Source organism: Homo sapiens, chromosome 1 (assembly GCF_000001405.40).
Source record: "Homo sapiens chromosome 1, GRCh38.p14 Primary Assembly".
Taxonomy (NCBI): domain Eukaryota; kingdom Metazoa; phylum Chordata; class Mammalia; order Primates; family Hominidae; genus Homo; species Homo sapiens.
This window is the reverse complement of record NC_000001.11, coordinates 51,655,041-51,677,951: the sequence shown is the minus strand read 5'-3', so window position 1 is coordinate 51,677,951 and position 22,911 is coordinate 51,655,041. Positions and strand designations below refer to the sequence as shown.

The 22,911-nt window shown below is 38.7% G+C and overlaps 1 protein-coding gene across 11 annotated transcripts in view; it reads right to left on the bottom strand.

The window, feature by feature from the left end:
* The window catches only part of OSBPL9 (oxysterol binding protein like 9), a 270,948-nt gene that overhangs the window by 111,268 nt on the left and 136,769 nt on the right, over positions 1-22,911 (bottom strand). For 9 of the 11 annotated variants that reach the window (NM_001416294.1, NM_001416293.1, NM_001416292.1 and 6 more), the window contains one exon: positions 8,440-8,518. The exons of the other annotated variants lie outside the window; for them this stretch is intronic. In NM_001416294.1, the coding sequence (NP_001403223.1) occupies positions 8,440-8,518 (79 nt within the window). The remainder of the gene's footprint in view (positions 1-8,439; positions 8,519-22,911) is intronic. 11 annotated transcript variants of the gene reach the window in all.

Genomic DNA, 22,911 nt, shown 5'->3' with positions numbered 1-22,911 from the left:
TCCTCCCACCTCAGCCTCCCAAAGAGCTGGGATTACGGGTGTGAGCCGCTGTGCCCAGCTGAAATTATTTTTGAGAACACACTGCTTAAAAAATGTTCTCTGTAGCCAGGCACAGTGGCTCACATCTGTAATCCCAGCACTTTGGGAGGCCGAGGCGGGTGGATCACAAGGTCCAGAGTTCAAGACCAGCCTGGACAATATGGTGAAACCCCGTCTCTACCAAAAATACAAAAATTAGCCGAGAGTGGTGGTGGATGCCTCTAATCCCAGCTACTTGGGAGGCTGAGGCAGGGAACTGCTTGAACCCGGTAGGCGGAGGTTACAGTGAGCTGTTGTTGTGCCACTGCACTCCAGCCTGGGCGACAAGCCTGGGCGAGACTCCGTCTCAAAAAAAAAAAAAAGTTTTCCGTAAAGTCCTTTGAAAATGAAGGATTATTTTATGGAAAACTAATCACATACATACCCTTAATTTTTATCTTTAAAATTTTATTTGATTTTTCACACATCAGATTTGCTTAAGGCAAGACATGCCTAATATATAGGTTAGGACATACAGACAATCCAAAATCAAGGGCAAGTCACTTAACTCTGTGTCTCACTTCTCTTTATCTACAAATTGAGGACAATTCCTTCTTATGTGTAAGTGGTTGTTATGAGAGTAAATTGGAATAACATGTTTAACCATTGGATCCAGACCTGTGGTTCTCAAACTTAAGAGTGCATCAGAATCACTAGAGCGGGCCCATTCCCAAAGTTTCTGATTCAGCAAGTGAGGGGCAGAGCGCAAGAATCTGCATTTCTAACAAGTTCCCAGGTGATGCTGACCCTCTATTCGAGAACCACACTTTAAGAATCCCTGATGTAGACCAACATGTGCACGAATCTTGGCTCTGCCACTTAGCTTCTCTGAAACTCAGTTACTCTAACTCTAAAACTAGACATAAAGCTATCTCACAGGCTGTGGAATTTAGGAATTATGTAAGTAATGTACAGTGCCTGTTATACAGTGCCTGGTTCATAACAGATATTTGGTAGTAGCAATAGTAGTTTTTACCACTACCACAAACACCAACACCGCCACTAATATTTCTACGAAGTAATGGAACATGTAGAACATTAACAATGCCCAATTGGGTTTTTTTGTCATTTTTTAAAATTGTATTTATCATGTACAACATATTTTGAAGTATACATACATTGTGGAATGGTTTGAACTAGCCAATTAACAAATGTGTCACTTTACATAATTATCATTTTTGCAGTCATTGTCAATTTTTTTTTTTTTTTTTTTTTTAGATGGAGTCTTGCTCTGTCGGCCAGGCTGGAGTGCAGTGGCGCGATCTCGGCTCACTGAAATCTTTGCCTCCTGAGTTCAAGTCATCCTCCCACCTCAGCCTCCCAAGTAGCTGGGATTACAGGCACATCACCACCACTCCCGGCTAATTAGCGTCAAATTTTTTAATTGCATTAAACTGCACTGTAATTTAAAGTTTCTTATTTTATATTAATTCCGTTTTTTTTTGAGAAGGCATCTCACTGTGTTGTCCAGGCGGGGGTGCAATGGTGGGATCTCGGCTCACTACAACTTCCGACTCCCGAGTTCAAGCAATTCTCCAGCCTTAGCCTCCTGAGTAGCTGCGACTACAGCACGCACCACCATCCCTGGCTAATTTTTTGTATTTGTAGTAGAGACGGGGTTTCACCATATTGGCCAGGCTGGTCTCAAACTCCTGGTCTGAAGTGATCCACCCACCACCTCGGTCTCCCAAAGTGCCCGGCCTCTTAATTCCTTTTCTGATAAATGTTAATTATAAACTAGTTGACAAATCTCTACAATATATTTTATAACAATGAAGAGGAAAATGGCTCTAGGGTACAATTGTTTGTGTTCAAATTTCAGTTCTGTCTTATATTAGCTATGTGTCTGTGGCTCCCAGTTTTCTAATCAATAAAATAAAAACACTAATAGTATAACAGTACCTACTTCATAAGGTTGTGAAAACTGCATGAGTTAAAATGTTTATTTTATGGTAGGCACTATTCAGTTAAAACTCATAAAATAAACATTCAATAAATGTTAACCATTATTATTATTATCCCAATATATTGTCAGTAACATTATGAATGATATTAAATCATTAAACAGATAAAATTTTATTTGAAGGTAAAATTCAAATAATTAGTTTTTTTCGAATTATTAGTAAGAACTAGTCTTCTATTAGATTGAGCCATATGAACAGCTAATGTGCAACTACTTTTCACCTATTAAAAACAGTAATTTCATGTGGTTGAAGCTAACAGCTTTCATCCTAAACTCTCTGATCATTCCTCTGAGCCTGTTAGCAGTTCCACCCTAGTATGATCCAAGGTTTAATCATCAGCTCTCTTCTCACTCTGATCTTCCAGAAGGATAACACTCAAGACTACCATGGCTTTAATCAAAGACTAAAAATCCAAAGGTTTTATCTAGCCCATAGATGCATTTTATTCGGTCTACATAAAAAATTGTTCCTAAAACTGGAGAGTTCACACACACACACACACACTCAACCCCATTCACAAAAAATAAATAAATAAATAAATTAATTAATTAATTAATTTCTGGCTTCTCTTGGAAAAAAAAGGATGATCTGACAACAATGGGCAAACATTCCAAGCCTACAACTGTCTGGAACTAAGTGGCAGCTATCCCTTTACACAGGGTGTGACCTCTCCAACTTGCTAGTCTTTACACAGCCATACTCTTCACTCATTTACAGTTATGCACTGCTTAATGACTGGAATCTGTTCTGAGAGATGTGTCGTGAGAAATGCATCATTAGGCAATTTCATCACTGTGCCAACATCAGTACATGAACCTAGATGGTAAAGCCTACTACACACCTAGGCTATAGGGTTTGGCTATCATTCCTAGGCTATAAACCTGCAAGCTTGTCCAATCTGCTGCCCACAGGCTGCATGTAGCACAGGATGGCTTTGAATGCAGCCCAATACAAATACATAAACTTTCTTAAAACATTATGAGGTTTTTTTGTAATTTTCTTTTTTAGCTCATCAGCTATCGTTAGTGTATTTTATGTGTGACCCAAGACAATTCTTCTTCCAATGTGGCCCAGGGAAGGCAAAAGATTTGATGCCCTGCTATAGAGTATGTTACTGGACTCAATACTGAGGGCAACTACAACACAATGGTAAGTATTTGTGTATCTAAACATAGAAAAAGTACAGTAAAAATATGGTATTATAATCTTATAGAACCACCATCATATATGTGGTCCATCGTTGACCTAAATGTCCTTATGCAGCACTTGACTGTACTTATCTGCCTAGCCGTTAGGCATTCATATTTTCAACTTCTAGTTCTACCTACCAGCAGTATGCTGACGATCACAAATCTCCATTTCCAGCCCAGACTCAGATCCAATTACCATCATCTATGTGTCCCACAGACACCTTAAACATAAGAGGTCCCTCACCACTACCTCTGCTCTCCTATATTCTCTATTTCAGATGCTGACAGTGAGGCACAATGGCTAACACCTGAAATCCCAGTAATTTGGGAGGCTAAGGCAGGAGGATTGCTTGGGCCCAGGAATTCAAGACCAGCCCTGGCAACATAGTGAGTTATACCTCAATAAAGTTGATTAAACATACACACATATAAATTTTAACTCAAAAAATAACTATTACAATAAAAATTTTTTATTAAAAAAAAAATTAGTCAGCCATGGTGGTGCAGGCTAATTTTTTTAGTAGTTCCAGCTACCTGGGAGGCTAAGGTGGGAGGATCACTTGAGTCCAGCAAGTCGAGGCTGCAGTGAGCCATGATCATGCCACTACACTCCAGCCTGGGTGACAGAGCAAGGCCCTGAAAAAAAAAAAAAAAGAAGAAGAAGAAAACAAAGGAAAGAAAGAGAGAGGGAGAGGAAGGAAGGAAGGAAGGAAGGAGTTGACAACATCCAACAGTAAGCCAAGCCAAGAGCATCACCCTTAGTACCCAAATTCTCTCACCTCCCATTTCTGAGCAATTACCAGTTCCTACAGATTAAAAAAAAAAAAAAAACTTTTTTAGAGACAGGGCATCACTATATTGCCCAGGCTGGAGTGCAGTGGCTATGCACCAGGTGTGATCATAGAACACTACAGTCTTAAACTCCTGGGCTCAAGTGGTCCTCTGGCCTCAGCCTCCTGAATAGCTAGGACTACAGGTGCATACCACTGTGCCCCAGTTCCTATAGATTTTTTAAAATCTCAAATCTAGTCCATTTTCCTCCCTATTATCACTGCTTTAATCTATTTAAGGTCTCATCAACAACCACAGCTATGTTATAACACTATGAATAAACTGCCCATGCTCCAAGCCAAAGACACTGCTCCCACCTGTGTGTTAGATCCCATTCTCTCTTGCTTTCTCCAGGACACTGATCCAGCAACTCTCTCCTTTCTCTCTTGCATCATCAATTCTTCCCTGTTTACTGAATCACTGCCAACAACATAGAAATGCTATTATTTCTCTTATCCTACAAAAACAAAACAAAAGCTCCCTTGCTCCCATTTCCCCTTCCGGTTACTGCTATATTTCTCATCTTCCCTTTACATCAAAACTTGAATGCACTGTCTCCACTCCTATCTTAAAATCACTCTTCTCAAGGTTACCAATAAACTTCTCAGTATTAAATCCTGTAATCATTTCTCAATCCTCATCTTATTTGATCTGTCAGTAGCATTTGACATAGTTGCTGATCCTTCTCTCCTCCTAGAAACACCTTTTCTTGTGGCTTCCAAAGTACCACATTCATTTGGTTTTCCTCCTCCTTTTTGGTTGCTTCTTCTCAATCTCTTTTGCTGGTTTTACCTCATCTTGCGCCCTCTCAATAAATGTTTGAGTGCCCCAGGGCTCTGTAGTTGGACCTCTTTTCTCTCAACATTTATTCCCAAATTCTTGTGGCTTTCAATACCATCTATGTGCCAATGACTCCCAACTCTATTTCTGCAGACCAAACTTTTCCACTGAACTCCAACTGCCTACTTGACATCTCCATTTGCCTATTTGGTGGACATTTAAAACTTGTTTAGTAAACATGTCCAAAGCTAAGCTCTGATGCCCACATTTCCCTCACCCTCCCAAAACTAGTTCCTCCTGCAATCTTCCACTTCAGTTAATGGCAACTCCATTCTTGTTACTCAACCTAGACTTGTCTTTCTGTCATATGTTACAGCTCAACCTTCAGAATAAATATACTGTCATACAATGAAGTATTACTTAGCAATATAAAAGGAACTATTAATATATACAACAACATAGATGAATCTTAAAAACATTATGCTGAGCTAAAATAAAGCCAGAAAAGAGAGTACATATGGTATGATTCCATTTATGTGAAATTCTCCTAACAAAACATCTATTCTACAATGATAGAAAGCAGAAAAGTAGTTGCCTGGGGCCGGGGGCTGGGGCTGGGGACTGACTGACAGGAGCATAAAGGAATCTTTTGGAGTGATGGAATCTATATCTTGATTGTGGTGGTAGTCATGAGTAAATAAACTGATTAAAATGCCTAACTGTATATTGTGTACATTTTATTGTATGTTAATTACACCTCAATAAAGGTGATTAAACATGCACACAATTCGACCACTTCTCACTATCTCCCCATCTCCACTGCTACCATGTGGGAGCCACTACCACCTCTCTTCTGGTTTACAACAGCCTCTTACTGCAGAAATAGTTTCCCTACTTCTGTCCTTGCCCCTCTGAATTTTACTCCCAACACAGTGGCCAGAGTCATCCTGTTAAAACATAAATCACACCATGTCACTCCTCTGCTCAAAACCTTCTAATGGCCTTTTATCTCAGTCAAATTCAATGCCCTTATAAAGGCCTCATATGGTTGGACTTCCTGTGTCCTCTCAGATTTCATTCTCCATTACTCTCCACCCATGGTTATCTGCACTCCAGCCAGAGCTGACCTCTAGCTGTTCTTCAAATATATGAGTATAAACTACAAAAAGAAAAACAAAACAAAGTATATGACTGTGTTGGGGAGGAAGGCAGGGTGGGTACGTCATTCCAGGCAAAGAAATGATGTATTCACCCCACCTCCCCCACCAACATAGCCATATACTTTGTTCCCTGACTTTCTTCAGCTCTTCACTAAAAAGGCACCATCTCAGTGAGTCTTTCCCTAGCTACCCTATTTAAAATTTCAACACTTCCCCTCTCCCTGCAACCTCACCTCTATTTCATTTTCTCCTTTCGTATTTTATTTTTTTCTCCCCAGGACTTATCACTCTCATTTACTTATATTTTACTAACTTATCATGTTGATCGTGTTGATTACCTTTCTCCTTTCCTGGAATGGATGACTCAAGGGGCAAGGAATTTTATCTGTTTTGTATACCACTGTATCCCCAGAATAATGTCTAAAATAGATGTTGAATGAATAAATGAATGTATCTGAACAAACTCTAGCTTTCCCTTTAATAGTTGACAGTAGAATTTGTTTTATAATGCATCAACTGATATTTCATTTGCTTAAAAAAAAACTGGTGTATTCAATAAAAACTTCAGCACATTTAAAGATATGTTCACATATATAGCTAAAATTTGCTTTCAATTCTAATCAAGAATTTAAGATCTCTCAGACACTGATAACTTTGTATCAAATTTGCAGGGATTTTATGATCAAGGACCTATGAATGTGAAATAGCTCTCATTAACGAAAAAAAAATACAGTCTTACCAAGTTCTTTGCAAAATCCAGATCTCATGCTAAAACTCCCATAACTACTACAATAGAAAATAAACTAATTATTCTGACAGTTTCAGAACTATGAATCCATTTTTAAAATGTGCATAACTCTTATCATTTAAATCCTTCCTGAGGAATATTTCTTGTTTTATAAGCCAAATAAGTATGAGAGTGCCAAAGGGGACATAAATAATTTAAAAGTAAATCAGAAGGTAGAGGTACAGCTTCTGAGGGTCCAAAGGAGGTGTCTCCTTCTTAGTAACTGCAGAGAAGAGAATTCCATACTGCAGCCTTACCTGCACCCAGCAGCTCTTTCTTGAAATGCATTAAAATATTCAACTTCATTCAAGTAAAGAGTTCCAGAGTGTAGGAATTACCTGCTGATTTATAGGCAGCATTACATATTTAACTTAAAAATAAAAACTCTGGGCTTTCATAATAGGATTTAAAATGTTTTATGAAGTTAAATATAGTAGAAAATTTCAGGACAGCATCGTTATTAAAGCAGCTCTGAATAAATTATATCATCAAACACAGTAAATATTTTAAGGTTATGTGGAAGAAAGCATTAGAGATATCACTATTGAGTACACTGGTTTAGGTTTGTTGAATATAACCTGCATCTTTCATTACTATCTGTCAATTTCTGAAAGAAGACAATGAAGAAAAATAACTGCAATTCACTATCCTAGCACAAAAAGACAACAGCTGCCTAAACACCTCATATAACATATCTGGCCTCTGTTAGACTTCATAACCAAAACATTTTTAAGCAATAAATGTATTTAATATTTATTTATCTTGGCATACCTAGCATCTCTAACAGTGCACTGTTACTTGTAGTTGAGAGAAAGTGCTAACCTCTCCAAATCTTTTCATTTCTAAGTTTCTTGAACTGCTCGAAACATAAAAGAGAGATTACTCTGGAAAGGCAAAATAACAAAACCATTAATACTAAAACTAACAGTCACTCCTAATAGACAAGAGGTACTTAGGACAAGATCATTAAAATTGACTTTTATTTGCTGGTTTAGAGTTTTCAAAGCAAAATGAAATGAGAATGATCATACAGTACCTTACCCTTTCTACCGGTGAACCATAGCATGCAATGCCGAAACATAGCAGTGGCAGATGGCATTTAACTATAAAAAGGATAATAGCAGAGAAATGATGGCTGGCAAACAAAACACAGAAATACAGATGAAATGAATGCAAACTTGTAGTTCTTGAAGCAGAGCAAAACCTTTAAGCCAAAGGTTGCCACTAAGCTTCAATTTAATTTATATTTTGAGTTTTACACAGACAAACACTGCAACCTTCACAATCAGTCTTTAGACTCTTCATGCAGAAGCAGAACCATACTCCTTGATAAAGAAGATCAGCAACCTTCTGTAAACACAAGCCAGCAGCAGCAGCAGCCCATTACTCTCTCCCTTCACTGATTTTTATCCTTTAAAATTTTCATCTCCAACTGCAGCCAGATCCACAGTCGTTTCAAATCGATCTACATCCATTGCAGATACAAATCCCTGCCTAACCTGCAGTACCACTTCATCCAGAATGTTCCTATGCACTCGTTCATGCAGGATCAGTTGCAAAACCATTCAAGTCATCCAGCAAACAACCCAAAAGAGAAGAAAAGAAGCAGATGGGACTATGAAGAGAAAGAATCTCTTCTTTCAGCTCACCCTGGAAATGGAAGGTTTTCTGATCAACAGTTATTGTGAAGGTGCTGTCGTCCTCATCGTCTATACCAATCACAGCTCCCTGTGAAACAAAGAGCAAAATCCCAATAAGGCAAACAATGACATCAGCAATATTCACTACTGCTATAGCCCTGGAATACTCAATGCACCAACGACACTGGAAGCAGGCTAGACACAGAAAAGAGGAAACTGAGACTCTAGTTTTGCTTAAGGAGAAAGAACTAAAGGAGAGGAGCTGGCAGGACACTCTAGTACCATGTACAGGTACATTCTATGCCTTCCTTAAGGGCATAGATGTGCTGGGAGGCGGAAGGGACAAACACAGAAGCTGAATCTAGGATCTGTGTTTTAAGAGCCAGCCACTGAGCCTTTCTGAACTTCAGAATGCTCTCTAAAATGGGAGTCAAAAACCTACACCTCACCAGGTTGTTGTAAGGCTGAAAGAAGGCAGGTGCTCTTCAGCAGGCTGCTTCTGTGATAGTATATACTTGTTAGTGTAGAAATGCCAGGTGACATTTGCTTCAAAACACTGTCCCAACCCCTTCTTCCAAGTGCTTCCATAACCACTTGTACATTGCCCTCCAAGAGCACTTTTCACAGTATACTGTGATTATCTGTTCATATGTCAGCATCTTCCTACAGAACCACTATGAAATCTTAGAAATCAAGGACTATTTTATTTGATACATGGCACTTAAGTACATACTTAGTATATGTTTCTAAATAAGAGCACAAACAACTCTCCAAACTGGGGGGTGGGCAGGCACACACAATGGGGAACTGAATTTACAAGTTGTTTTGGGAAGGCGGACTGGGTAGGTTTTAACCCTTTTAAAAAATACTTTTTTATTACTATTTTTTGAGACAGAGTCTCACCCTGTTGCCTAGGCTGTCACCCAGGCTGGAGTGCAGTGGCACGATCTCGGCTCACTGCAACCTCCACCTCCCAGGTTCAAGTGATTCTCCTGCCTCAGCCTCCCAAGTAGCTGGGATTACAAGCGTGTGCCACCACACCCGGCTAACTTTTGTATTTTTAGTACAGACAGGGTTTCACCTTGTTGGCCAGGCTGGTCTCGAACTTCTGACCTCAAGTGATCTGCCTGCCTCAGTCTCCCAAAGTGCTGGGATTACAGGAGTGCGCCACCACACCTGGCCCCCTTTTCTTAATATTCAACTACATGCATTCTGTGAAGACAACAGGAATTAAGATAAGAGACAGGAAACTAAGCAAAATAGGGAATCTATTGTTCAATGTCCTTAAGAAAAAAGTATCTTAAGTATTCCAGAGAGAAAGACTACAGAACACAGAATAGGTCAAATGCCTCAGGTGATAAGAGAAGCCGTGTGCCCTTGATAAAACCAGAGACCTTGACAAGGGAGTTGAAATGACTCAAGGGGACAAAATACCTAATCCCATGAAAAAAGGCTACATAGGGGGACTACTCCTATACCAGGAATATTAGGGAATAGGATCAAACATTTATTCATTTCTTCCCCAGAGGCTATCTGGATGAACCCCAACTCTATCCAAATTCCACCTACTTGAATTACTTTACTTATTCCTCAGTGTCAGATGGGGTAGGAAATTTTATCTCCATTTTCAAATAGGGAAAGTGTCTCCAGAGAGTATAATGACTTGCCCAAGGTCACACAAAGCCTTAACAGCAGAACCAGTACCAGATCACCATTGGCATGGAACCTAGCTATTCCACGACAGCAAATACAGACACACTTCAGTGGGTAAGCACGTGCAGAAACAGCTCATTCTGGTTAATGTAATTTGTGATTAACTGAGTTAACCTTCTAACTTGTGATGTATCAAATATTTCCTGAGCCATAACTAAATACCAAAATATATGCAATATACAGCTCTGGAATATATGCCCTGCCTTCAAGGCACTTATATCCAGTACAGGAGATAAAACATGCAAAGAGGTGACTATAATACAGGGCGAAAAGTTATCTCTCTCTGGATGAACCTTGAAAACAGTATGCTAAGTGAAAGAAGCTAGTCACTAAGGATCACATGTTACATGATTCTACTTACAAAAAATGTCCAGAATAGGTAAATTCATAGACTGACAGTAGATTAGTGGTTGTCTAGTGCTGGGAGGGTTGGGGTGAAATGGGGAATGGCTGCTAATGGGTATACTAGATTTCTTTACAAGGTGATGAAAACATTCTAAAATTGACTATGATGATGGTTGAACAACTCTGTGAATATACTAAAAACATAAATTGGATACTCCAAGTTGATAAATTGCATAGTATATGTATTATATCTCAACAAAGCTATTGCAACTCACTCCACTCTCAAATGCCTGCTCTTTCTCTTGAGTTCCTTAATTAAGAACCCAAATGTAAGCTCAACAAGTCACCTAGTCAACTCTGGTAGAAACCTCCAGGTCTGTACAACTACCCCTTGTTCCATTACCACAGGCTGTGCTCATTCTACCTCTCAACTATTAAGTTCACCAACTTGTCTCCATCCTCTCTGCTACTTCTGTAATTCAGGCTTTCATCGTTTCTTGTTTGGTAACAATCTGCCTGCCTTCAGTCTGGACACTTTACAGTTAGTTCACAGTCCTTGCTATTGCCGGAGTAATATTTCTGAAGCACAGACTCTTATTAGAGACTCACATGTTTAAAACCTTCCTTGGCTCTCTATGAACTAACAGATAAAGTCAGCATTACTTCATAATGTCATTCAAGGCTGTTCAAAATCTGGCCCAACCAACATTTCCACTATCGTCACCCAGCTTCCTTCTGCCCCACCTCACAGACACCCCATATGAATTCAGCTTCCACATTTCTTCCACATACCTCACTCATGAAAATGAGTTCAGTGCAATAGCTGGCAGCATTAACTAGTCACTGTGGTTTAGTGCTCTGTGATGACAAGATTGACGGCAGTGTTATCCAACAGAACTTTCTGCAGTGATTAAAATGTTCTGTATTTGTACTGTTCAGTTTAATAGTCACTAGCAACAAGTGGCTACTGAACATTTGAAATATGACTAGTATGACTGAGGATCTTAAATTTTTAAAATAATTATTTTAATATTTTAAATTTTTAAAAACACCAAGCAATTTCACTTTTTAAGGTCATTCTTCAAGCTCTATTTCTCACCATTTGTTAAACAAAAGCAAAATCCCACATCTCCCTCTAGCTACCACATCTCCTCACATTGCTTTCAGAGAGGAGCTTTTTGAAAATTGGCTGTACCTTAACCTTCCATCCACTCTTGCAAGCTGGCTTCCTTCCTCTCACGGCACCAAACTTCTCTCTCACAGATCTCCAATGACCACATTACTACTTTAGTTTTGTTGTACAGAACTTCTCCGGAGGCCGGGTGCGGCGGCTCACACCTGTAATCCTAGCCCTTTGGGAGGCCGAGGCGGGCGGATCACCTGAGGTCAGGGGTTTGAGACCAGCCTGGTCAACATGTTGAAACCCTGTCTCTACTAAAAATACAAAAATTAGCCAGGCATGGTGGCGCATGCCTGTAATCCCAGCTACTCAGGAGGCCGAGGCAGGAGAATCACTTCAAGGCAGAGATTGCTGTGAGCCAAGATCGCACCACTGCACTCCAGCCTGGGTGACAGAGCGAGACTCTAAAAAAATATATATATATACACAAAACATTTCTCTGGAGCACCTGTTGCTGCTGCAGAAACATTTCTCGCTGCGTACTTTAGATAGTCTATATGGAAAAAAACATTACTTTCTGGACCTTTGCACTTTCCCCTCTCTAATCGAAGGCTTCTTTGAAGACTCGAACCTAGCTAACAGTCTCCTACTCCAATCAGGTCTTGTCATGATCCTGAGCATTCTTCAGTGTATATATGCACAATTGATCTGATGCTCTGGTCTCTCAGTGTCTTGATTTGTTGAATTACTCAAATGAACTACATTGCTATTCTCCTTCAGTCCTTCATTTCCTATGACAAAAACCCTACATCCACACTGTCCAATACAATAGCCATTAGCCACATATTGGGTATTTAAGTTCTAATTAAAGTTAAGTAAAAATTTAAAATAAGTCCCTCAGGCCGGGCGCAGTGGCTCATGCCTGTAATCCCACCACTTTGGGAGGCCAAGGCTGGCAGATCACCTGAGGTCGGGAGTTCAAGACCAGTCTGACCAACATGGAGAAACCCCGTCTCTACTAAAAATACAAAATTAGCCAGGCATGGTGGTGCAAGCCTGTAATCCCAGCTACTCGGGAGGCTGAGGCAGGAGAATCACTTGAAGCCGGGAGCTGGAGGTTGCCGTGAACCAAGACTGCCCCATTGCACTCCAGCCTGGGAAACAAGAGCGAAACTCTGTCTCAAAAACTAAATAAATAAATAAAGTAAGTCCCTTAGTCACACTAGTCATACTTCAAATGTTCAACAGCCACTTGTGGCTAATGACTATGAAACTGAACAGCACAAATACAGAACATTTTAATCACTGCAGAAAGGTCTGTTGGATAACACTGCCGTGAATCTTATCATCACAGAGCACTAAACCACAGTAAATAGTTAATGCTGCCAGCTATTGAACTGAACTCATTTTCATGAGTGAGGCATTATGCTAAGCATTTTACATATACTATCTCATCTGAAAATAACACTACATTGAAATGTAACATATATACAAATCACAAGTGTACAGCTCAATGAACAGAAAAGCTCCCCTTGTAACACTTCCTAATCATTAACCCAACCCTCCATTCCAAAGATAAATACTATCCTTAGTTCTAATATAACAATTAGTTTAGTCTGTCTTTGAACTTATTTATTTATTTATTTATTTTTGAAACAGAGTCTTACTCTGTTGCCAAGGTTGGACTGCAGTGGCATGATCTCAGCTCACTGCAACCTCTGCTTCTGAGGCTCAAGTGATATTTGTGCCTCAGCCTCTTGAGTAACTGGGATTACAGGCATGCATCACCACACGCCCGGCTAATTTTTATATTTTTTGTAGAGACAGGGTTCACCATGTTGGCCAAGCTGGTCTCAAACTCCTGGCCTCAAGTGATCCACCCATCCCAGCCTCTCAAAGTGCTGGGATTACAGGCAGGAGTCATCATGCCTGGCCCTGTCTTTGAATTGTATACAAATGGACTCACACCACTTATTTTCCTTTGTGTCTGGCTTCTTTCATGCACCATGTTTGTAAGATTCATCCATATTGTTGCATGAAGCAGTAGTTTGTTCACTTTTATTGCTATATATATCATTCCTCTGTATAGACCCACAATTATCAATTCCATTGTGCATGGACATTTATGTTGTTTTCAGTTTTACGTTATTAGAATAAAGCTCCTATGAATATTCTTATTCATATCTTTTGTTATACATGTATTTATATTAAATACAAATCTAGGAAAGTAAATTTGCTAGGTCACAGGATATGCATATATCAGGTTTAGGAGATACTATCAAATCGTCCTCAAAAGTGGTTGTGTCAGCTATACTCCCATCAGTGGTATACGACAGTTTCAACTGTTCCAATAACTTCACTAACAGTTTTTCACCTTAGTTATTCTTGGCAGGTAAGTAGTGACATCTCATCATGGTTTTAACTTCCACTTCCCTAATAACTGACAAGGTTAAGTATGTTTTCATGGTTTCTGACCATTTGAAGATCCTCTTTTGTGAAATAGTTTAAGTTTCTTCTCCATTGACAAGACTGGACTATCTTTTTCTAATGACTTGTAGGAGTTCTTTCTATATCATGGGTATGAGCCCTTCAATGGTTATAAATTAAGCAAGTATCTACTTCTACTCTGTTGCCTGCTTTTGCACTCACATAATGATATCTTTTGATGAAGAATTCTTAACTTTAATGTAGGACAGTGTATTGACTTTACATTTTATAGTTCTGCTTTCTATGTCTCCTTTAAGAAGTCTTTCCCAGTCCCAAGGCCATGAAAATATTCTCCTACATTATCTTCTGGAAGGCTTTACATTTGGATATCAGGTGGAGTAAATCCTCCAATTTAAAAAAAGTTTTTTAATAAATAAACATCTTGAACATAGTCATAGCCAGCCATCCCCAAAGGGGCAGAGGAAAGCAAATCACCATTTCTACTGGGTTCTGTATGTTGGCTGAGAAGGCAGGAATCAGGAATGGATACTCTTGACTCTTCATAAATTTTTAGTCAGCTACACACGTTTTACACACACACACACACACACACACACACACTTGCCAGCATAATGACTCAAATGACTAGAAATAAACTGGGATTTGCCAGTCTAAATAAATAGACTGTCATTTATTTAGGTCTTTTTAAATTTCAATAATGTTTTATCATTTCCTGAGTAGAGGTCTCACTCATCTTTTGTTAATATTTATTCCTAAAAATTTGATGCTTTTTGATGCTATTATAAATGTTCTCCATTTAAAAAAATTCATGTTCTGATTGCCAGTTGTTAGTATACAGAAATATCACTGATTGGCCAGGTGCGGTGGCTCATGCCTGTAATCCCAGTACTTTGGGAGGCCAAGGCGGGCAGATCATGAGGTCAGGTGATCAAGACCATCCTGGCTAACACGGTGAAACCCCATCTCTACTAAAAATACAAAAAATTAGCCAGGCCTGGTGGTGGGCGCCTGTAGTCCTAGCTACTCAGGAGGCTGAGGCAGGAGAATGGCGTGAACCTGGGAGGTGGAGCTTACAGTGAGCCGAGATCACGCCACTGCACTCCACCCTGGGCGACAGAGCGAGACTCTGTCTCAAAAAAAAAAAAAAAAAAAATTCGTTGATTTTTATATAATGACTTTGTATCTGCTTATCTTGCTAGATTCAATTCTCAATTCTAATAGTTATATCTATAGATTCTTTTGGATTTTCCATATGCTCGATTAAGTTGCTGTGAATAATAGTCTTATTACTTCTACTCCAAGCCTTACACCTTATATGTCTTTTATTGCTTTATTCATTGGCTAGGACTCCCAACAACAAAAGCAGCCATCGGGTAGAAATTCTAAACCTTCCTGATGTGCCCTCCCACCTGAAGACTCACTTGCATCTAAACCCAGCATGCTTCCTTTCCACTTATCATAATGGAAAAGGCATCCATTCTTCTATCGAAAACCCAGTCCTTCCACACTCATGCTCCATATCCCTGCCAATTTTCAATTTCTGTCTCTCTCTTCCTGGTCTCTATTTCTCTTCTCTGTCTCTCTCTCTCTTTTTCCCAACTGCATTTACACATACTCAAGACTCAAGTCTTTATACTCTTTAACAACAGCCCTTTTCAATTCCATGTCCTAACCAAGCAATTGGCCAGCCTCTCTCATTCCCTTTTAGTCAAGATTATTCAGCTGTCCAATCCTCTAGTTTATAATTTATTTTAACCTTCCATTCCTTGGAGGATATGTTACCACACCAATGGTTCTTCTTCACCTTCACACAAGGTGACCATACGACCTGGTTTGCCAGGAACAATCCTGGATTATTCCTGTTGTCCTGGCTCAATAATGAATAGATCCCCCTTTCATTCTCAAGCAGTTCTGGTTTAAGGGATGTGGTCACTCTCCGCCACAGCCTAGCCTACAAGGCCCTTAGTGATTTGCTCCATGCCTACCTCTCTATTCTACACTTAAATAGCTTAAGGTTTACCAATTGCCCCAATTTCTCTCCTACCACCATTTTTTGCACATGTTCCCTCTGCCTGAGACATCCTTCCTCTCCCTTTATCTGGGTTTAGAGTATTTTTTTGATTATATCTGGTAAAGCAAAACTCCCTTTGATAATCTATATATGAAATGGTGTTCTGTTGTTAAGAAAAGTTATTTGTTATACTAACCCACAAAAATATCAATGTTTTTCTTTCAACTCCACTTTTATGACCCCCATTGTGCCAACATAATAAACATATACATCTTTCAGTGACCTCTCATGATTTTTTTCTGAAGGTTTCAGATGGTCAGCTTCTTAAAGTTCTATCAGTACTTGAGGTCACCAAGGTGCCTGTTGCTCCAGGGTCACACTATCAAGGCACCAAAAAGAAACTAGAGCTACACAGTCTTGTCCCACTGGATGAATTTCCTGACTTTCTCTCTTTTCGTTTTTTTTCTATACACACAGACATACTTCAGACATGAATCATCATTCTGATGCCAAAGACAGACAGATAGTTTTGCTCTCACGGCTTGGGGTAAAAAAAGAGAAACAAAATTCTGGCTATTTTGGGGCCAATCTCCCTTTGCGAAAAGTAGGCTGGTGAACTGGTTCCAAAGATAATAAAAAAGAATGATGACTCCTCTGAGACATAGATTGCTCACAGGCTCCTAAAAGGAATGTAGACAGTGCTAAGAATACACAGCATAGCTACTCCCATTATAACTCTACAACCACATACTTTTCATCACTGCTTAAATGACATTGGAAGTCTATTTACATTCACATAGTGCATTTAAATGTGGTCCCTGAGATTTAGGCAGAACAGGTCACTACTCTTCTTTAGAGATTAAGAAACTGAGACTCAGGTTTAAAAAAAATTTTTTTTAAGTTTGCCAAAAGTCCAACAACTAAAAGGGAGAAGAATACTAGGTCTTGCAAACCCTGATCCAAAGCCTGTTCTTAACAGGACATGGTGACAGTAAACAATATTCACTAATTACTTCAACAAACTTATTAAATACCTATTCTGGGCCAAGAACAGTAACAGCCAAGGGATACAAAACATGTCTATGCCCTGGAGGAACATACAGTCTAGAGAGGAGTGACAGAATCAATAATATAGAAGGGAGCAGAATGGCTTGCAGTTCAACCTGCTCACTAAAGAAGACGCTGCATGGAGGACCTACTTTAGCATCATTCATTCATTGATTCAACAAGTATTTATTGAATTTCTAGGCACTGGCCTAGATGCCAGTAAGAGAGTGGTAAACAATTTGCTTTGCTTTTGCATTCAATATTTTACCTTCTTATTCCCCCTTACATGAATTGAAAGTATGTAACTTTTCTACATTTTGAGAATTCTTTTGTCTTTTTTACAGATTTGTATGCATTTGGGGGGATTTTCTTTTTGTCTTCTTTATTAATATGCAGGAGTTATTTATATATACACAGAATATTAATCCTTTGCCAACTGATGTATTTTAAGTATTTTCTCTTCTATCCATGAGTTGTCTTTTCCCTTTGACTGTGGTATCTTTTTTTGTTCAAAGGTTTTAAATTTTGAATGTTGTCAAATCCACAAATATTTGCCATTGTGGTTTATGCTTTCTGCTCTATCTTGACATCATAAAGATATCACCTATGCTTTTTTTCTAAGTTTAAAATTTCATTTTATACCTCTTATACATCTGAAATTTGTTTTTGTGTATCACATGGGGTAAAGAGTAATCTTCTTTTTTTCATATGGACACCCAATTGATCCAGTTTCATTTACTAAGTGATAATGTCTGATTTGTAACGCTCTATCATATACCAAATTTCCAGCTTTCTCCAAGACCCAAATCCAAATGGTTCTGTTTTTCAGCTTTCTCTTCCATTCCGCTAATCTATTTCTGTCTCTTATAACACCACCATACCATTTTAATTACCATAGTTTCAGTTAAAAACTTAATATCTGGAGTGGCAAGTCCACCAACTCCTTATTCTTTAAAAATATCTCTCCCCTTTCCCAAATTTTAAATGACTTTTAGAATCACCTTGTCAAGTTCTTTGACAGCCTAATTTTGTTGATTTATGCTTTTTTGAGAAATTATCCATTTTCATATAAGCTTTCAAATTTATTGGCAAAATGTATTTGTAGTAGCTTCCTGACAATTTTTCATCTCTACTATTACGTACTTTTCTTTTTTTCATTCTTAATATTATTTATTTGTGCCTTCGTTTTTTTCCTCCCAATCTAACCAGGGTTTATTTTATTACTTTTTTCACAGAATCACAGTTCAGTTGGTTTATGCTCTCTACTGTTTATTTCCCATTTCATTAGTGTATTCTTTTTGTTATTTTCTTCTTTCTATTTCCTTTGCTATTTCTTTTCTTTACCTAATTTTAAAATTTTAATGTTTAGATCATTAATTCTCAATCTGTCTTGTAATATATTCATTTAAGATTATAAATCAGACTTCCATAGATGCAGTTTTAACATGTGGTTTTCTCATTATCGTTCAGACTTAAATATTTCACAATTTCTATTATCATTTCTACTTCCACCAATGAATTATTCAGAAGTATGTGTGTGAGGTGGGTGGCTACTGTTTCATCAAGGGATTTCTAATTTTTTCCATTGTTGTCAAAGAATGTTATCTATGTGATACTGCGTCTTTGGTATTCTCTTTTTCCATAACAATTTAATTTCTTTTCTTAGTATTCTATGTCTGATATTAATTCTGTTTCCCAGCTTTCTTATGGTTAGCACTTGCCTGGAATATATTCTTCCATCACTTTCTTTTTCATTTAATTTTTAATTTGTAATTATGAAATAGTATAAACATTCATAAAATAGAGCACTAATGACATCTATGTACCAATCACAGAGATTAAATAGATGTTTACATCTTGCCCAAGGGAGGATATTTTCAATATTAAATTCATAGAGAAGAGAAAGAGCTTACAAAAAGGCTACTGAATTAACGAGAAAAGCCACAATGAATAGAGTGACTTTTCACTGTGAAATAACAAGACAATTGATAAAAGTTCTTACAGGATACAGATCCAAGGGAAAAAGGAAGACATTCTTAAGGTTATACATTAACCTAAAAATAACACCTTATTGCATTGTGAAAAAAAAAAGTGATGGTATCAATGAAATAGGGCACTAACAGAAGTCATTACTGAAAATATTAATATTCTGTCATGGTGCACCACCGACCTCTCTTGTGGTAGACTAAAAGAAAAGAGAATAGATAATGCATCTCTCAGGAAATCACATTCAATTCTGATACCTAGCACAACAGGTAAATGGAATACTTAGTTTCACTGGATGGAGTAAAAGAGGGTCACTCTAAATCACATGTAGATTAATAGTTTTCAAAGATGTATAATAAATTTACCATTAAAACTTTGTTTAATATAATTCATTTTTCTTTGGTGATTCCTAAGGCCCTTTAGAATTCTTCAGAATCTGAGATTCATCTGTATTAATAGAAATTATGAATTACAAAAAAAAAACTACCATTCATTTAGATCCTATTAAGCTCCAAACACCGTGTTTGAGTACTTTTCAAAATGTATTAACTAATCTGGTACTCACAACACTATGAGTAAATGGCATGATGTCTATTCCAGAGATATGGGAAATAGGGCTCAGAGCTGAAAAGTTGCCTCAAGTCACAACGCCAGAATGTGGCAGAATCCAAGTCTGAATTTCATTACATACATGCCCTGTATTTGTTTTTGCCACTACACCCTACTTTTTTTTTTTTTTTCTTTGAGACAGGGTCTTGCTCTGTTACCCAGGCTGGAGTGCAGTAGTATGATCTCAGCTCACTGCAGCCTCGACCTCCTGCACTCAAGTGATCCTCCCACCTCAGCCTCCCAAGTAGCTGGGATAGAGGTGTAAGCCACCACACCCAGCCAATTTTGTTCATTTTTTTTGTTTGTTTGTAGAGAAGAGGTCTCATTATGTTGCCCAGGCTGGTCTCAAACTCCTGGACTCAAGTGATCCTCCTGAATCAGCCTCCCAAAGTGCTGGGATTACAGGCATGAGCCACCAAGCCCGGGCCACACTGCCTCTTTAATGTTGTCATGTCTCCATTTTCCAGATATTATCTGAAAATGCCAATGTTTTGTTTTTGACTAGTATGGGAGAGGATCAGACCACAGGACTCAAGCAACATTTTATTTCTTCATCAAGGAAAGGGCACCGTCTAGTGGCACACACTTCATAACCAACACAAAGAAGGTTTTTCACTTTTCTGCTTTCCTCCACTGGTTTGACACTACCTTATAATGACTTACAGTATCTGAATTCACTCTTCTAGTCCAGAGGAATGGGAGCCTAGTAACATTAAGAATTGAACAGGGCTTTGAAATAAGACCCAAGTCCAATCTCAGATTCACCATTCCTATGTGACCTTGATAAGTTACTAAGAGTAGTTTGTGTCTCAGTCTCCTCATCTGCAAAATGAAATATGAGCATTTACCTGACAGGGTTATGATAGGAATGTGTATGAAAATCATCCAGCACAGCACCTGATCTGGGTTTCCTCTATGGTCCCTTTCTCCATTCTCCTTTTATGTACCCTATGTTCATGTGGGTGTTTTGCTTTGTTCTTTTTAGAAAATACATCATACCACTGGCTCACATTATGTTTAAGATAAATAACTCCCACAGTTCTTTTGTATGCAAACCATAGTAAAGGCAAATTTCCCAACATTTACTGATTATTTTCATAAATACATAAAATTAACAATAAGCATTTTTGAGTATTTATTATGTGCCAGGCAACTGTGACACTGAATAGGAACTTATTATCCAAGTGGAGACAACAGAAAAATTAACATGTAATACAATGTAACAAGTAATTTCATGGCTCTAAATTACAAATGTAAAAAAATAGGCCAGGCATGGTCGCTGGTGCCTGTAATTTCCAATGCTTTGGGAGACTGGGTTAGGAGGACTGCCTGAGGTCGGGAGTTAGGAGACTGAGTTAGCAAGACTGCCTGGGCAACACAGTGAGACCTCGTCTCTAAAAAAAAAAAAAATTTTAATTAGCCAGGTGTGGTGGTGCACACCTGTAGTCCTAGCTACTCAGCAGGTTGAGGCAGGAGGATTGCTTGAGGCCAGGAATTTGGGGATGTAGTGAGCTATAATCGCACCATTGCACTCCAGCCTGGGTAAAGAGCAAGATCCTGTCAAAAGTTGGGGGGAGAGCGAGGAGGGGGAGGAGAAGCAGGAGTGGGGGAAGAAGGAAAAAAAAATGTAGAGGATAGGGGAGAATTAAACCTGTTAGAAGTATGCGGATTAGAAAGGCTTCACAGATGAGGTAACATTTGAAAAGTCTCTTAAGCGATGAGCTCATCAGATAGGGGGTGCAGAACTTCCATGATATAAGAAAAAGAAAAAGTCAGAAGCAATGAGGAATGAAGAAGCACAGTGAGGGAAAAGGAAGAAACATAGTGTGATTCAAATATAGGATGGGATGGATGGGGCAAGGGCAAGATCAGTAGTGCAGTCAATGATAGCTCATTAAGCTCATTTGGAATCTAGATGCAGTATCACTACCATATTCATCATCATCATCATCGTTGTCATCCATAGCAGTTACTGTTTCCTATACATACATAATTGCTAAGCCTCATTACAACCGTACCAGTTATATCACGGTATCCTCATAAAAGTTAAGAAATGTGCCCAATGTCAGAGTCAGTAAGGGAAGAGCTGAGTAAAATTCAGCCCCAGGTCTCTCTGATTGTTTCTACACCAGTGGTCCCTCTTGGTTACACAACATAATTACCTGGATAATCTGTTTAAAAATAAAGGTTCCAGAACACTACACTAAAGCAGCCTATCTAGAAGGTGGACTTGGTAACTGTATTGTAAACAAACCCTCAAGATATTTCTTGACTAAAAGCCTCGGCAGTTTAATTTTTGGAAAATACTACAAAGCCTAGTAAAATGCACGTGTGTGCACACAGAGGGACAAACACACACATACATGTTTCTAATTATTAAGTTCCATCTATGTGCCAGGACCTAATCGTCACAAAATTCTGCAAGAAGAGTATTATCTCCACCTTAAAGAAGAGGAAACTAAAGCTCAGGAAGCTTATGATAGCTTCCCTTTTCCACTCAACAAAGGAATGGGTAAAAATGGGAATCAAACACAGGTATATTTGGTTCTTCTCTGTCATGCTGTGTAGTAGGCAGAATTTTAAGAATGACTCTCACAGACCCTTGCCCCTGTATAATCTCCTCCCCTTTGAGTATGGATGAAAACCATGAATATGATATCGCAGGAGTAATTATGTTACATTACATGGCAAAAGGGAGATTATTTGGTGGACCTAATCCGATGTCATCACATGAGGTCTTTTAAAAGCAGAGCATTTTCTGCAGCTGATAGCCGAATGGGAAGTCAGAAAGATTCAGAGCACCAGAAGGATTCAATGCACATCGCTGACATGAAGATGGAGGGGTCTAGGCCACGTGACCAAGAATACGTGCAGCCTCTAGAAGCTGAAAGCAGAACACAACTGACAGCCAACAACAACAAAAAACAAAAAACAAACAGGGCTTCAGTTCTACAATCACAAGGAATTGAATTCTGCAAATGCCCTGAATGAGCCTGGAAGAGGACTCTTCTTCAGAGCCTCCAGATAAGGGCCCAGTCCAGCCAACTCCTTGATTTCAGTCATACGAGACCTTAAGCACAAAACCCAACAGAGATGTCTGACCTATAAAACTGTGAAATATATGGGTGTTTTTGTGTGTATGGTAAAACATACTAACATGAAATTTATTATTTCAACCATTTCTAAGTGTATAGTTCAGTGG